At 37.5% G+C, this 14,994-nt stretch overlaps 1 protein-coding gene across 12 annotated transcripts in view, besides 1 other annotated feature; it reads left to right on the top strand.

Annotated features, from left to right (window-relative positions):
- Window positions 1-14,994, top strand: part of MYO5A (myosin VA) — a 221,768-nt gene that overhangs the window by 181,044 nt on the left and 25,730 nt on the right. For 5 of the 12 annotated variants that reach the window (XM_047432540.1, NM_001382347.1, NM_001382348.1 and 2 more), the window contains 5 exons: window positions 1,546-1,646; window positions 4,810-4,890; window positions 7,613-7,811; window positions 10,123-10,197; window positions 11,451-11,544. In XM_047432540.1, coding sequence (XP_047288496.1) covers window positions 1,546-1,646; window positions 4,810-4,890; window positions 7,613-7,811; window positions 10,123-10,197; window positions 11,451-11,544 — 550 coding nt within the window. 12 annotated transcript variants of the gene reach the window in all.
- Window positions 9,190-9,766: an enhancer, noted in NCBI's record as "OCT4-NANOG hESC enhancer chr15:52630438-52631014 (GRCh37/hg19 assembly coordinates)". NCBI's record gives its function as "activates a minimal SCP1, AML or CMV promoter by ChIP-STARR-seq in primed H9 embryonic stem cells {active_cell/tissue: H9 hESC(primed)}" and the evidence as "EXISTENCE:reporter gene assay evidence [ECO:0000049][PMID:30033119]".

The following is a 14,994-nucleotide window of genomic DNA, read 5'->3' as shown; positions in this document are numbered from 1 at the left end:
CCATGTAAGTCCTGAGATACCAGAGCACACAGATAGCATTATTTGATGTAAACACTTGGGTCTTTGAAAGTTATTACTTATGGGTTTTAAAAATCTGAGTATGGCCCTTTATAAAACAGAAAGATTTTATTCCTTTCAGAGAAAGAGAAAAAAGAACCTCTTTGTAAAACAGGTACTAAAATATTTACAAAACATAGCTAAAAAAAATACTCTGTGGTTTTAATGGGAAAGATTTTTAAAATTCAATAAAATGTAAACTATTTATTAGTATATTTCATGAGATTATAGTTGGTCTTCTCAGAGGAAGCATTTATAAACTTACAAAAGGATAGCATTAAGAGAAAAGTGGTATTTTTTTTAAGGATTTTTAAAATACACATTGAAATTCAGAAACAAGCATTTGTAAGTCTCTGATTGGCATTAAAGTTATCTTGGAACTTGTCTTTAAGATCATGGTATTTGAAGTGTATTTTATTAAGTCTGTTTCATTGCAAGGCCTGAGCTTAGATCATGTTTACTAAAGAATCAGACATATACTATTTAGACAAATATGTGGTCCAAAAGCTTTTGAGTTGAATTTTATGTGGAAATGTTTCCATTTAGACAAAGCCACTGGGTTCTGAAGTATATTGTTTTTTAGAGGCTACACAGCAGGGTTTCTTTTTTTGCTTTAAGTTTTGGGATACATGTACTGAATATACAGGTTTGTTACATAGTTCCATGTGTGGAACTATGTTCCATTGTGGTTTGCCAGCAGTGATTCTTATCTCTTACTCTTGTCTAGAAAGATAGAGTAGCTGAATAGGAGAAGATTTTGAAATTACATTGCTTGTCAGACAGATTTGACTAAACGGAGAAAATTAAAAAGAAAATTAAAATGTTGGAAAAAAGTTATTCTTATATAAAATAATTAATAATTCTGACCTGCCAGATGTTTATTTCAAAAGCTTAAGTACTATGTTATGTTATACTAGAGGAAAAGAGAACTGAATGTGAGAAAAAAAACTTAATTTTGCTGAAGCATATAATCTGAATACTACCTTCTTTTTCTGAGTTTTTAATGAAAAAGTGAACTTTATGTCAGACTTTCAGTGTTTTGGGGCATCTGCTCATTGTAACTAGTCATGAAGTAGTAGAAAGAATGGCTTTGTACATTCCATTAAATAGGTGCCTGGTTATTTTTCTAATGCTGTATATACTATATTATATACTTTATAAAATATATATATATTTTTTTTCACATAATGTAAAACACATATATGGCCCATCAGTGATTTTATTTACAGGGCCGTGACATTGTAGAATCTTCCCACCTTTGTAGCAGAGTGCTAGTGTTTCTCAGGAGAAAAACTGAAGGTACCTCTTCTCAACTACCTGGGCCAAACTCCCCTCTGCAGTTACATGAGGTTGGGGCTGATGCTTTGGTGGGTCACAGGTATGGTGGAGCACATAACCACTGCCCCCCAGTTATACCAAATAAATGTGTTTTATGTCCAAAGCTTTTGAGTTGAATCTTAATGCGTAAATGTGTTATTTCCCTCTCAGAATACAATGACAGATTCCACAATACTTTTGGAAGATGTACAAAAAATGAAAGATAAAGGTGAAATAGCACAAGCATACATTGGTTTGAAAGAAACAAATAGGTAAGTTGATCCTTCTTTTATTCATTTTGGTTTAATTATATTGATCTTTAGCCTTCAAGCCAGCCTCTTGTACAGTAAAAGTGTTCATACATTCCTTTATATTAGACATTAACTGGCCTTCAAAGGGAATCCAAGGTTTCCAGTGTATTTCTAGTTAAGATCTTCATTATAATATAAGGTAATAGTATTGACAAAAGGTGTCAGGGAAAATGTGCTTTAAATCAAAGCAAGATTTTAAAAATATTTAATGTCTTAGCTTTAAGGGGCTGCCTTGAGAAGAAAACTACCTGCTCAGGTCATACAATCTTAGGTAGTCACTTTCATTTGTTATTCAGGATGGTTATTTGTGAAGGTTTGTAGGGGCAACTGCAGTTTTCAATATTTGAAACTTAAGAGTGAAAAGAAGTGATGAGGTATCTGGAATCACTCAGTGTTGGCCATGTAACTCTAAAAGGGCACCATGACTTCTAGGATAGAAGAATGAAGGCTCATATCTGGAATTCCCCTTGGCCTTACTACCACCCTCCTTCCCAGCAAAGTCTATTGGTCTGGGGCTCTTGATGGATAGTTTCAGGATTGGTAAACATACATACTTTATAAACTGAAGAATATTGCCATACAAAAAGAAAGGTGCAGTCAGCCCTCAATATCCATTGGATCCCTATCTGTGGAGTCAACCAATGGAGGATGGAAAATATTTTTTAAATTACATTTGTACTGAACATGTACAGACTTTTTTCTTATTTCTTTTCTTTATCTTTCTTTTTTTTTTTTTTGAAATGGAGTTTCCCTCTTTCGCCTAGGCTGGAGTGAAGTGGAGCAATCTCAGCTCACTGCAACCTCCGCCCCCCAGGTTCAAGCGATTCTCCTGCCTCAGCCTCTCGAGTAGCTGGGATTATAGGTGCCCACCACCACACCCGACTAATTTTTGTATTTTTTTTAGTAGAGATGGGGTTTCACCATGTTGGCCAGGGTCGTCCCGAGCTCCAGGCCTCAGGTGATCCACCCGCTTCGGCCTCCCAACGTGCTAGGATTACAGGCATGAGCCACTGCGCCCGGCCCTATCATTATTTCTTAAACAATACAGTGTAACAGTTATTTACAGAGTATTATAAGTAGTCTAGAGATTACATATTACAAGTTTTTAGGTATTATAAGTAATCTAGAGATGATTTAAAGTGTACGGAGGATGTACATGGTTATATGCAAATAGTATGCAAATTTTATATAAGGGATTCGAACGTCTGTGGATCTTGCTATCCAAGGGAGGACCTGGAACCCAATGGATATTGAAGGATGACTGTGCTTCTTATCTTCTTTTATGGACAAGGGTGGAGAATGCTTATAAAAGTATTTGGTTATACTTAAATTTTAATTTATCAGTTTAAATTATAAACATATGTTATATCTAAGAATGTGTTAATATAGAAAGAACTGTATTGTATCACAATGTTCTTCCATCCACTTAGCTATTCTATCACCAGTGTGCCTACTTCATGCCAGGCCTTGTGCCACATACTGGGAATACAGTAATAAGCAAGATAAATGCGGTTCCTACTCTCACTGAGATTATAGGCTGCTGGGGAGACAGCTGAGAGGGTTTGGACTTTATTCCAAAGATAATGGAATCCTCTGAAAGGTGTTAAGTAGGAGAATGGTGTGATGAGATTTGATTTTTGGAAAGCTAGCCCTGGCTGTTATGTTAGAGAATAGACTGCAGTAGAACAAAATTGGAAGCATAAAGGCCAGAGAGTATTCCTGTAACCCAGTGATTATGGTGACTTGGGCTTGGCTGGTGGCAGTTAGGATTGACAGAAATGGGACGTTTTGAAAGATACATAAGAAGACGAAGTCAGAAAGCTGTTTGGTTTATTGAATGTGTGGGCGAGGGATGGAGAAGCCTGAAGGTGACTCCGTGGTTTCTGCTATCTTGGTTAGGTGTGGTGATACCGTTTTGTGATCGTGGGACTGGAGTGTGGGGAAATGCACAGTGAAGATGATCAGTAGATTTATACATATGGATTTAAGGAGCCAGGAAAACATCCAGAGAAAGAAATCTATTAGGCAGTTGAGTATATAAATCTGTAGACAGGAGAGATGTGTGTACTGAGATAGAAATTTTGAAGTCATCAGAGTATAATAATACAATGGAAACCGTGTAAATAGGTGAATTCTCTAGAGAGATATGAACTCTCTAGATGTAAAGTAGAAGACAATGCCTGGAATTTGGGTTATGTAAACATAACAACAATATAGCAGGAGTAAGAACCTGGACTCCAGAGTCAGTGCTGGGATCCACTACTTACCAGCTGTGTAACCTCTATGGGTATCTTACTTCCAAGCCTCTGCGTCTTCCTCTGCAATGTGGCAAATGACTTGTTGGGTTACTGGGGAAACTGAATTAGTACATGTGGAAAGAATGTAGAACAGCATCTGACACTGAGCAAACACTCAAAAAATATTATTTTTATATTCTAAGTGGAAAATAAATGATTACTAACATTATCATTACTAATTATACGTTTTTAATAAGATGTGATACATCTCTAATATAGCAGTTTTTCCAGGCATACAATTAATTTTTGACACAAAAAAGCTTTTAAAAATCATGTCATAAAAGCTGAGAACCTTGGACATGTTCTGATTTATGTTACTGCTATAAGAATTTTTAAAACTGGTTTTTTAATGTGGGAAATTAGGTTTTATTAAGCTAAAAACGTTCCTACCTAGAGGACTTAAAAATTCATCTTGAAAAATATTATGAAGTTTGCCACACAAAGACAGTAGCTGAAGTTTTTGTTCTATATGTGTCATAACCTCTAATACAATATGTGATGTATTAGATCACTTTGCTAGCTGAATAAAACATCAAAAACAGAACCTCTTTCTCACCTTCCAGTCATTTCTTATTTTGCAGGTAAAGTAGCTCTACATCCTTGATTATTTTGCTTTAATTTCTATCCATTTACATGTGATGCTACATGTTACTCATTTTTAAAAATTAACCAAAAATAATTTTTGTGGTAATGTCTTAAAGTTGTCATAATGAATAAAAACAAACTTATAAAATGTTGAAATACTGCATGCTGCTGTTGACCATCGTCACCTCATCAGCATCCTGTATCCTTTTGTGTTTTGCATTGTTGTTCCTTTTGCATGGAAGATCATCTGCTCTGGATTACCATGAGTTGAATGAGGATGGAGAGCTGTGGCTGGTTTATGAAGGGTTAAAACAAGCCAACAGGTTATATTTGTCTCCTCAAAATGGAATGTTATTAATTTGTTGTTTTTCTTACTAACAGTGACCTCCTGACTTTCACCCCTGTATTTCTTGTGCATTGATTGTCTTCTTGGGTAAATTAGTGTTAGTAATTGTGTTATTTGTTCAAAGCTTTTCAGTAAAACTGAGAACATTCAGCCAAACACCTTTTTTTTTTTTCTTTTTTAGACGGAGTCTCACTCTGTTGCCTAGGCTGGAGTGCAGTGGTGCGATCTCAGCTCACTGCAACCTCTGCCTCCTGGGTTCAAGCAATTGTCCTGCCTCAGCCTCCTGAGTAGCTGGGATTACAGGCGTGCACCAACATGCCTGACTAATTTTCTGTATTTTTAGTAGAGACGGGGTTTCACCATGTTGGCCAGGCTGGTCTCGAACTCCTGACCTCAGGTGATGCGCCCACCTGAGCCTCTCAAAGTATTGGGATTACAGGCGTCAGCCACCACACCCGGTCCAAACACCTTCTTTAAAAACCTTCACTACAAGATACTATTAAAGCTAAAATTGAATGGTGGTGAATATAAGACACTTCCCTTCAGACACTAAAATTTGTGAATCTCTCTCTCCCAGGAGTTAAAAGAAAAACATAATCTTTCAATTAGGGCACAAACTATTGGGGGAGAGATTAAGATTTATTACTGAGACAGTGGCTTCTCATATCCTATAGATAGATCTACAGGATATATGTGTCTATGGCAATGTGGCTACATTTTTCTTTTCTTTTTTTTGACACAGGGTCTTGCTCTGTCACCCAGGCTTGAGTGCAGTAGCATGATCACGGCTTAATTCAGCCTTGACCTCCTGGGCTCAAACGATCCTCCTGCCTCAGCCTCCTGAGTAACTGGGACTGTCACAAGCATGTGCCACCACACTCAGCTAATTTTTTTATTTTTTGTAGAGACAGGGTTTCACTTGGTTGCCCAGGCTGGTGTCAAACTCCTGGGCTCAAACAATCCTGCCTCGGCCTCCCAAAGTGTTGGGATTACAGATTTGAGGTACTGCGCCCAGCCTACCTTCTTATATATTATTATCATGCTGTCTAAAAGCAAGATGAAATGCATGATTTGGCACTCTGTGTGGTTATTATGAAATTCACATTTGTGAAACAGCAAATCAGGAGAGTTTTCTGCATTGCTATAGCTCAGAATAATTACCCAAATTCAACCCGTTAAATATGTTCAGAGGAGAGAAAATAAAATTGAAACAGCAGCACCTTTCTAACACAGACATTCATCTGCTCTAGTGATATTTGTCTTTAAAATCTCATTAAAATTCTATTTTAGTGATTAAATTTTTAAAACACTCAAATGTTTGTTCAAGGGGCTTCTGCTTATTCTGCTTTGTTCTCATCATTAACGCTTGTCATTAACTTTGGGGTGTTATTGCTGCAGATCTTTTTGAAATGTTTTAATCACTAAATATTTTTAGTCCACTGTTAACAGTTTGCTTGCAATGGCATCATTAAGTTTTACCCAGCAGTTGGCAACCAAGGGACTGGAATAAAAGAATGTCTTTTCTTTCTTCACATTAGTTAGTTCTTAACCATAACTTTGCATTTGGAAGAGAGTGACTGTAGAAGCAGGGGTGCGTGGCAAAGGGAGGATGCTCTGACTCTGGTGTTCTCACTGCCAATGCCTGGTCTGCTCTGTGGGCACAGCTGGCTGTATGTTTGCTTGGAAAAGCAATAACCACTTTTTTGGTCCTATTAATATTTGTGTTCTAAAACCACATCTTGTTAGGATTCTGTTTCTGATATGTAAGTTTATGCGGAGAGAGAAGATGACAGATCTAAAATATATATAGGAAATTTCAGAACTATTTGTGTGGATTCGGGTAAATCTGTATATATAAGGCTGGAGTGGTGTTCCAGCCTTTCTGTCTTTCAGAATAGGAGTAGAATATAATTCCCTCTGCCTGGAATTAGTAACTGTAGTTCTGAAGGCACATTTAGTTAATTTGGAAGTTTATAATGTTGGCCTTTATAGTGCAGAGTTGTTTTGTGGCAAAGGTGTACTGTCTTTGCCAATTTAAATGCTAATTTATAAATGCAAATGCAAGGCAAATTAAAGCTGTTTTTTTCAATTGATTTTTTTTTTTACATCCTCATTTCCTATGACCCTCTTTTTTTTTTTTTGAGACGAAGTTTTGCTCTTGTTTGTTGCCCAGGCTGGAGTGCAATGGTGCAATCTCAGCTCACTGCAACCTTTGCCTCCTGGGTTCAACCAGTTCTCCTGCCTCAGCCTCCTGAGTAGCTGGGACAAAAGGCATGCCCCAACACGCCTGACTAATTTTTTGTATTTTTAGTAGAGATGGGGTTTCGCTATGTTGGCCAGGCTGGTCTTAAACTCCTCATCTCAGGTGATCCGCCTGCCTCAGCCTCCCAAAGTGCTGAGATTACAGGCGTGAGCCACCACACCCGGCCTCCTATGAACCTTTCAAGAGAACTAAAACTCTCCTGTTTCTTAGGGCCTCTGAGAACTTTATATAATGCAGAAAGACACAAATGTGAGAGCACCCGTTTCTATTTCTGCTTCTTGTTTTAGTTTCTTGACTTTAATCAAGTCAGAAGATAACACAGATACTAAAGAATATCTGCTTTTCCTACTCTTGCAAGTGAACACGATGCCTTACACCCGTTAGGCAGCAACTCGGGGTGTCGTCTCCCCTTCCGACCCATGTGTCCTCTCCGCAGGCTCCTGGAATCCCAGCTGCAGTCACAGAAGAGGAGCCATGAGAATGAGGCCGAGGCCCTCCGTGGGGAGATCCAGAGCCTGAAGGAGGAGAACAACCGACAGCAGCAGCTGCTGGCCCAGAACCTGCAGCTGCCCCCAGAGGCCCGCATTGAGGCCAGCCTGCAGCACGAGATCACCCGGCTGACCAACGAAAACTTGGTAAGGAGAGCTGCCGGGTCCACATGCTTCTTAACCTAGCCTGCCCGACAGTCTAGTTTCTTTTTGATCAAACACGGGTTTTTCTTGCTGGGAAAAACTCACCCCTCTGTACTTGTTACCCCTCTTACTCCAGCAGAGACAGAGTAAGGAAAATACAAATATTTTGGTAGGAAGGAAGAAGGCACAGGTTCTCTTTATCACGGAGGGCTGCGTGCTCTTAGACCTGCCCTGGAGGCAGACAACCACCTGGGTGCAGGCTGGGCTTTTGATGGCAGGTGATCTGCTTCCTCCATTTCAGCTGCAGATCCTCTGCCATCCTAGGTTTATTATGTGATTGTCACAACTGAGACTGGGGACAGGCTTCCTTTACCTTTGGTCCCCAAGCAGCCACTGAGGCCATCCCAGGCTCCACCTCTAGCAGACAAGTAGGGTTAGAGTTGAGGTTGAGAAAGGCGGTTGGCAAAACTAAGCCGGGGTTTTTGGTTGATGTTGGATGGAGCTCCCAGGTCAGGGAGGTGTGTGTTAGGATTCAGGTTTACATATTTTCTGTTCTTTTAAACAGAACTTGTATAACAAGTGAGGAAATTGTCTTTTTCCTTGTCAGATTCTAAACCCTGGCATGGAGTCTGACTGTTTTCTTTTCTTTTTTTTGCCTTGTTCCTTTTTTTTTTTCTTTTGCCAAAAAAATTTTCTAAAATATTTCTCAGTCACATAATAACTTTTATTACTGATTTACAGTTTTTTGACAAATATATTTACTATATTAAAAATCCTTAAAAAGTGATAATTTCATATTTCTATATAAAGTCTATATTGTAGTGCTAGCCCGATTTTGAGAAAAATTGTTTAGGATTGGTGGTGATTTGTGTCTTTTTTAAATTAACATTTTTAATGACCTATAATAAAATAGTATGAATTTTCTCTGAAGATTTAACAATCTGAATTATCCCTCCATTACTCCATTTGTGATAATTTACATTACAAACAGTTTTCTAGTGTCATTTATTCAACCATCTTTTATATGAATTAGAAGCAAAACGCAAAGGTATTCTTTTTCACAGTCTGTCTGTATGAGGCTCCACCATGGGAATGAGGGAGGAGGGTGGGGGCAGTGTGTGGGCTCTTTCCAAAGTGATTGACATCTCACTAATTTGTGGGGAAAATTTTCTGAATCATGAAATATTTTTTGAAGTGTTATTTTACAAAGCTCAAGTATACTGTTGCTTAAATTAAACTAACAATGCTTTGATGACTAAGTATTACCAAATATACTGAATAATATAATAAGTTGATTGATTGGCATACAAGTTCTGTGCTTTAAATTATTGTTTTAAAATACAAGGTGAAATCGTGAAATAAAGATGCTTCTGGGTGGCAGATTTCCAGGGTTTTTTCACTAAGTTGGTCAGACATTTCTCTTGCAACCTTGTTTGCAATATTAATTTTTTTGGCAATTTTTCATAGCTAATACAAAAAATAGACTAAGCCCCTATATTCTAAGCTAATAGAGCCCAGTTAATGAATTTGAGTTTGGGGAAAACCTTTTGTAGGTCAGCTGCTTCTCCTGCCATCACACTGACTACTAATTCAGGAGGATGGATTCAAACATAAGTACAGGAAATGATAGACTTTTTCAAAATCATTGTTTTCTCAATCTTAATTGTGCATTTCTATAAGAAACACTTGAGTAGGATATTAAAGCCCAGCAGGAGACCTGGGCTTAGTGCTCTTGAAACTCTACCTTGCCCACCTACCTACCACCAACACAAAACACAAAAATGATTTTTCTACCTCATCTAGTGAACAGGCTTCACAGGCCTCCCCCGTGCTGTCTTTCAGCGAAGGAAGATGCACAGCTTCCCACCAGCCTCTCCAGCTTCACAAGCTAACATTGCTATTATTCTCACTTTTATTATATTTACCTCCCCTATTCTTGCCACTGCTGCTGGCGGCAAAAAAAAAAAAAAAAAAGTGCAGCAAGTTGTGAGCATCATGTGTTGGGGAGGCTGGGAGTAAAAAGGCAGGAGGTTGGAGGAGGGAAATGACAGCCTTATCTGGGCCTGCTAAGTGATGGCATCCTGGCCACAGCCTCTTTCCTTTGTTCACACAAGAAACATCTGTACATATGTAATTAGAATAATCTATACTAGAAAGATAAAAGGGTAATGGAAGGTGACAAATCAGAGCCTTTCAAGTATATATAGTTTCACTATTTGTATTTTAAAATATTTTAAAATTGATTTTGCTGAAAGATAGCATTTCCCTCAAACACACAGACAAAAACAAATATCCATTGTGCCTGTTTTTTCAGTATTTTGAGGAATTATATGCAGATGACCCTAAGAAGTATCAATCATATCGGATTTCCCTTTACAAACGGATGATTGTATGTAAAACCATAGTGCTTTTCTGCTGTCTTCCCTTGCTACTTATAGCCCTCTGTAACTGAAGAGCACACTGCTGCCTGCCCCCTCCCAGGAAGTCTCTTCAAAATTTTCACGAAACCTGTTTCTCCCCACAGCTGTCTTTTAGCCAGTGGTGTCACCTCTGTCAGTGTCCTGAGTCCATTGTCACGTTTGGTTTGTTATTAACACTAGGCTTACAGTGTGATGGAAGCAAAATGTGATTTGAAAGGTCACGTAAAATCCAAGAAGTACAACTTAACACTTTGAAGAGATAGCAACTGTTCCCTTTAATGGTTGGCCTAGTAGCTAAATCTACTCCTGTCTAAACTGGAAAATGAATATTTGTATTTGGAATGCCTTTCTTCTCCATAACCTGAATAACAGACCACACACATTGCTGACTCATAGCCCTTCTAAGCTGTTACTGAGCCTACTGTTGTCCACTTTCTTTTTGATTGAGTTTTTAACCATGTCTGTCATTTGAGCAAATTCTTTATTAAATAGCCAATAATCATGGACTTTTTTTTACCTTCCTCCTTAAGTGTACTGCTTTTGTTTCTGTTTTTGCATAAAGCATTCATAAATACCCCTTTCTTCTGTATAAGCAAAATTATATCACCTGCAAGATTTTATAGATGCCTTATGCCACTTGCCACTTTGGTCCTAGGTAAGCAGACCACTCTTTATCCTGTTCTTTGTGATTATTTTTTTCAACTTATCTTTTAATTCCCAAAACTTCTGAACTATTCTTAAGTTTCAGGGCTAATTTTAGAATTTCATAGGGTGGCTCTCATAGAGACAGTGCTTCACACATGGGGAGTGTCAGTTCCTACCTAAGTTCAACCATTCTTTCCACAAACCTTTTTGTGCATTCATCAAAATTTATTTTTGCCTAGTCAGTCCTCCTTTAAAAGAAAGCATTCTACTGGAATACCAATACATTCTACAAAGCATTCAGTTGATTTTCCCACATGGAGTCTACTGGAAAGACTCTGCAGTGAGCCTGCTGTCCATCACGCTGTAAAGGAGTTTACTGCGTTGTATATTTTAACATATGGCTTTTATTGTAGCTGCATTTCCCATGCCTGCCAATTTTAGCCAGGTGGTGGCTCCACCAATGAGCTCTTATGTAAAACTAACGTGTTGTTTCTGTGATATTGTGTCTATTTTCCTTTGATGCATTTTAGAAGGCCTGTTTCGATTTTTCTAATATATTTCTCTTTTTGATCTTTAGGATTTGATGGAACAACTTGAAAAACAGGATAAGACGGTCCGTAAACTGAAAAAACAACTGAAAGTATTTGCCAAAAAAATTGGCGAACTAGAAGGTATTTAAACCTTTTTTTCAAGACGGTCACTGAGTCTTGGTTTGAGTCTTGGCTTAAAGACTAGGCTATATAAGTGGCCTAATAGAGGTTTGCATGCAAATATTAGGGATAATAACAAAATATGACTTTTGGCAAACCTAACCTCTTTTGAGTAGAAATTTACATTTTTAAATGAGGAAAAATGTTCTTTTCATGGGTAGTAATAATTTACAGATTTTACTCTGTAAGCATCTAATGAATATCTTCTATATGCCAGACAATGTGCTAGGCAGTATAGCATAGGAGTTAAGAATGTGGATTCTGGAGTCAAGCTTCTTGGGTTCAAATCTTAGCTCTTCTACTTATTAATCATATGATATTGGGCAAGTTTCTGAACCTCTGTATGCCTGTGCTTTCCCATCTGTTAAATTAGAAAGATAATAGCATCTATCTGACATGGTTTATAAGGATTGAATGAGCTATTAGGTTGGTCCAAAGGCAATTACTTTTAATGGCAGGAACTGCAAATGCCTTTGCATCAACCTAATAAGTATATTACACTTAGAAAAGTTACTGACGCATAGTAAAAATGCTTCATGCGACTTAGTTATTAGTCACTATCATTATTCTTAGTATTAGGGATACTAAGATGAGTATGATAGAGTCTGTCCTCAAAGAACTTACAGTCTAATGGAGGAAAAATAGAGAAGTAAAAAAGAAAAATATGAATTATGATGATAAAGAAATAAGATTTTTAAAAACATCTCATGATTTCTATATGATGATGATGAAAAAATTCCTTGAGAAATAACCAAATATCAGTTGTTGTTATTATTTATATACAAATGGATCTTATCTTTTCTATTAGTGTGTTTATGTGTTTATTTGTTAAGAGTTATAGGTACAGGGATCTAGCAGTGAACAAGGCTAAAGCCAAACTCCTTTTTTTTTTTTTTTTTTTTTTTTTGGAGACAGAGTCTTGCTCTGTCGCTGAGGCTGGAGTGCAGTGGTGCAATCTCGGCTCACTGCAACCTCTGCTTCCCGGGTTCAAGCAATTCTCCTGCCTCAGCCTCCTGAGTAGCTGGGATTACAGGTGCATGCCACCATGTCCAGCTAATTTTTGTATTTTTAGTAGAGACGGGGTTTCACCATGTTGGCCAGGCTGATCTCGAACTCCTGAGCTCGTGATCCATCTGCCTCAGCCTCCCAAAGTGCTGGGTATAGGCGTGAGCCACCGCTTCCAGCCTAAAGCCAAATTTTAAGCTTATTTCAATGTTCTCACTGCTTAAGGGATTTTGAGACAGTCTTTGGAATAGCCTTCAAACCTGTGTGAACGGTTAATCATTTTCTCTCATTGTCATTCTGCATCTAATTCTTGCTTGGTTCAAACAGTGAAGATTCCCCATCACTGAGGATGTTCAAAAGAATCTATCATGATTAACTCCAAGTGTGGTTTTCATTCCTCCAACATGCCAGGTCTTGTCATAACTGCTCCTTCTGTTTGGTCATCCTGCTTCTCCTGGTTAAGTCCTGCTCAGCCTTTGAGACCAGAGTCATATGTCACATCCTCAAGAGTAGCCTTTCCTGATTACCCAGACAGACGTTATGGTTCTGCTCTCTGTGTACCACAATTTGGCCGACATCTTTTATGGTCTTCACTATGTCATATTTTTAGCAATTTTTCTGTTTGAATTACTGGCTTCCATAATAGACTCTGAGCTTCCTGAGCATAGAAAACATCTCTGTTTCCCTTTGCTTTCACAGCACCTAGCATAGTGTCTGACCTATCTCATAATCATTCCATAAATGTTTGTTGAGTGAATGAGTAAGTTTCAGAAATATTTATAACATGGCAACATGGACATTTACTTTGTAAAGGATATTACTCTGTTGGATGTACAAATACTGAAATATTTGTTTAGAAATCAGAAAGATTATTTTATAGTCACACTTTATATATAATCCTTTAGCATTACATGAGTCATATATTACATTAAAATTTGAGCCTCCACATCACACACTCACACACACATGAGCTATAATGTCTATTAGCAGAACTTAAAAATCTTTATTCAGAGAACTTTTTGCACTTTGCACCAATTATATCATGAGATGATAATCAGACAGCAGAGTATTTGTTTGAAAAAAACAGATTTTAAGTGTATTAACATGTGAGATTCTTTTTTTGTTCAACTCCTAATGATTCCTTTGCCATACTTTAGTAAATTTTGATAAACAGAAAAGCCATTCATTATTTTACATAATTTTTATTAGTTTTCTTTGATATGTATATTTTTTAGTTGAAGAGATGGGTTAGACTATTTTAAGATATTACTAATCTTAAGCCATTGTCAATCAGAAATCAACCTCATCATTTAAACTATCCAGACAGCTGTAAAGCCATAAGTAGCATTTGAGAATAGCAATTCATAGATCAAACAAAAAAGGCATTATAATAGTTCTTAAGAAGAGTTACATTTTGAGTTAAGTGATACATATCTAGAGGATGAAATGAAATAGATTTATGTGACTTGGGCACTTGCTGAGTGCAGTGTACCTGCTTCTACCCCAAATAAAGAGAATCAAGGTGACACTTTTCATCCTCGTATCTGCCTGTTACACAGAAAATACAGGCACCTTCTAATAACTAAACGTTGTCTTATACTTTTCTTTAAATGTATTGCAACACACTTAAATCCTTTTGGTTTAAAATAGCACAACTCTTGCCTCCTCCTACAAGCTACATTTAATTAAGGAGGCTTTTTAAAAAGCCAACAGACTTTTAAAAAAAATGCTAGCATATATAATTTTTGGCAGAAACTATATAGCTAAATGGAGAGTGTTTCAAAATTTGATCTGCTTTGTGCTATATTTTCACCCATCTTAATTTTCATGGAATCAAGAAATTAAGACCTGAAAGGATTCTAGAAATCAATTAGTTATTTCATAAGAGGAAAAAACTAAGGCCTGTAAGTGACCCATGGTTGCAGCAGGTGAGATGGCAGGACTAGAACACATACCTTCTAAGGGCCACTGATTTCTCTCCTTTGTGTCAAATTTTCCCACAGAAATCTTCTACTTATTAGGAATTCATCTGATTGTCTCAAACTTGAGATCAAGATCTTCCTGGTGCCAAAAGTAAATTTTTTTAAAACTTTCCAATTTTCTTTCCTTTTTGAAGACAGAAAGGTTCCCTCAAGTTTATAAAGAATCTAGAAAATGAAACTAGAGTCTTTTTTCAGGTCTTCCTAGAAGAATGGATCATTGGGCTCCTCAGTCCCTTTGTGCTGCTATAACAAAGTACTTGAGACTGGGTGATTTATAAAGAACAGAAATTTATTTCTCACAGTTCTGAAGGGTCAAGACACTGGCAAGTTCAGAGGGTCTGGTTTCTGCTTCCGAGATGGCAGGTGCCTTGTTGCTGGATCCTCTGAAGGGGACGAACTCTGTGTTCTTACATGGCAGAAGGTG

This window comes from Homo sapiens, chromosome 15, assembly GCF_000001405.40.
Source record: "Homo sapiens chromosome 15, GRCh38.p14 Primary Assembly".
Taxonomy (NCBI): Eukaryota; Metazoa; Chordata; class Mammalia; order Primates; family Hominidae; genus Homo; species Homo sapiens.
This window is presented reverse-complemented; position numbering and strand designations above follow the sequence as displayed.